The sequence below is a fragment of the Homo sapiens genome, chromosome 4 (assembly GCF_000001405.40).
Source record: "Homo sapiens chromosome 4, GRCh38.p14 Primary Assembly".
In the NCBI taxonomy this organism is placed as follows: Eukaryota; Metazoa; Chordata; class Mammalia; order Primates; family Hominidae; genus Homo; species Homo sapiens.
The window spans coordinates 45,064,175-45,066,033 of record NC_000004.12 but is presented as its reverse complement, the minus strand read 5'-3'; the positions used below and the strand labels follow the sequence as shown (position 1 = coordinate 45,066,033).

General features: G+C 39.8%; 1 annotated feature.

Moving 5' to 3' along the window:
- Positions 405-1,604: an enhancer, noted in NCBI's record as "BRD4-independent group 4 enhancer chr4:45066447-45067646 (GRCh37/hg19 assembly coordinates)". NCBI's record gives its function as "activates an origin of replication core promoter dependent on BRD2, P300/CBP, MED14 and CDK7 cofactors, and independent of BRD4, by STARR-seq in HCT116 cells {active_cell/tissue: HCT116}" and the evidence as "EXISTENCE:reporter gene assay evidence [ECO:0000049][PMID:35650434]".

Here is a 1,859-nt window from a genome sequence, read left to right as displayed (position 1 = left end):
TACTTTTAACCACAATGACCTTATTTCTGTACCTTATATTTCCTTTGAAGGAATCCTTGCATTTTCTGCTTCACCTGTCCAGATAATTCTACCCCTGGATATTCACAGTCCTAGCTTTTTTGCATCATTTATGTCTACACTTAAAGACCATTTCCAGAGAGTACTTTATGGAATTAATGTCTGACTCCAAATGGAAGCTGAAGAGGAAAAGACTAGTTTCTAGGAAGGAAAAAGAGGTAAGTTCAGTGGAAGCTCTCCTCCCCTACTGATGGGTAGAGGAGAAATGATTGTAGCAAATCTTATTGCAGGGGGAGGGTTTTTTCCTTCCATGGAAGCTCCTCTAACCCTCTTGGCAGCATTCCCAGTGCCTTCACCTAATATCCCCAAGGGGCAAGGGTCAACTTCATCTGATGAACTGGGCATGTGTCCCTCACCCCTTTTTCTTCCCATAAATGGCACTACTTTGCTGGATTCACCATGCTATACATTCTACAAATAGCCTCTGCCGTTGAAATGAATAGGTAAGTTAGCTTATATCCCTTTTATATGCAGATATAAACCATTGTCTTATTATTTACTTCCTCTGTAAAAAAGTTTATATTTTGGTCATTATTTGCCTTATGACACTCTTGTATCTTTTAACTGCTCTGACACTCAAGTTTAGAAGAAGAATGACATTGGTCAGAACCTCTTACGTCCTGAAAGAAGCAGGGCTCTTCCAGCATGTATTAATATGCCTAAAATGAACCACAGCTGGCTTTGAGCTACAGTCTGAAAGGACGCCCTGGCCTGAGCTAGAACTAAGAAATTATGTGACCAGTAAAGGTCTTCTGCTTCCTAATTAGAAGAAAAATTTATAATGTTTATCTGACTTAAATAATTTTGTATATAAGATGCTAACTCATAGTATATAGATAAGCCCCATAATTATTTGTCAAAATACTGAACAAATGAATGAAGGATATTTTTTCTTACCTTCAGTCAGCATAAGATATGCACGATCCAGTGCCAGCTTGGATACAAGCACAGCAGTAAAGCATCCATATCCATATACAGGAAGAGCAGCCACGGTGAAGGGGATGAAGGACTACAGCAACTGCTTCAGCAAACAAAATTTCCAGACAATGGTGCAGACCGATCTTTCAGAGATAGAAATTACAGGCCGGGTGCAGTGGCTCAAGCCTGTAATCCCCACACTTTGGGAGGCCGAGGCTGGTGGATCACGAGGTCAAGAGTTTGAGAGCAGCCTGGCCAATATGGTGAAACCCCGTCTCTAATAAAAATACAAATATTAGCCAGGCGAGGTGGCGGGCGCCTGTTGTTCCAGTTACTCGGGAAGCTGAGGCAGGACAATCGGTTGAACCCGGGAGGCGGAGGTTGCAGTGAGCCGAGATTGCACCACTGTACTCCAGCCTGGGCGACAGAATGAGACTCTGTCTCAAAGAAAAAGAAAAAAAAAAGAAAAGAAATTACATATAATTACTTAGGTAATTTAAAATGGACTGAAGGTTCACACAGCAAGCTAGCAGTGAAGAAGTATGTCAGAACATGAGGGGGAAATGGTAGTTTGGGAGAAGCCAACAGAAATAAAAGATTTATTATTACCATATTCTCCAAACCTGGAAAAATGCATCTTCCAACAGCTTCCTTTTAAAACATTGCACCTGTTGAATTATAGTTTACTAATACGCTGTTTTTGTTGTTGTTCTTGGCCTTCCTGAAGTTAGAATTTTAAGTAAAAATTACCCAGTTGCATAGAAGTATTTTCTTGAAATTTTATTTAAACTCCATAAAATAGTGAGTTTAACAAAGGAGAAAAGGTTAAGATGTGAACAATCCATTTTCTGTTCTTTTAAATT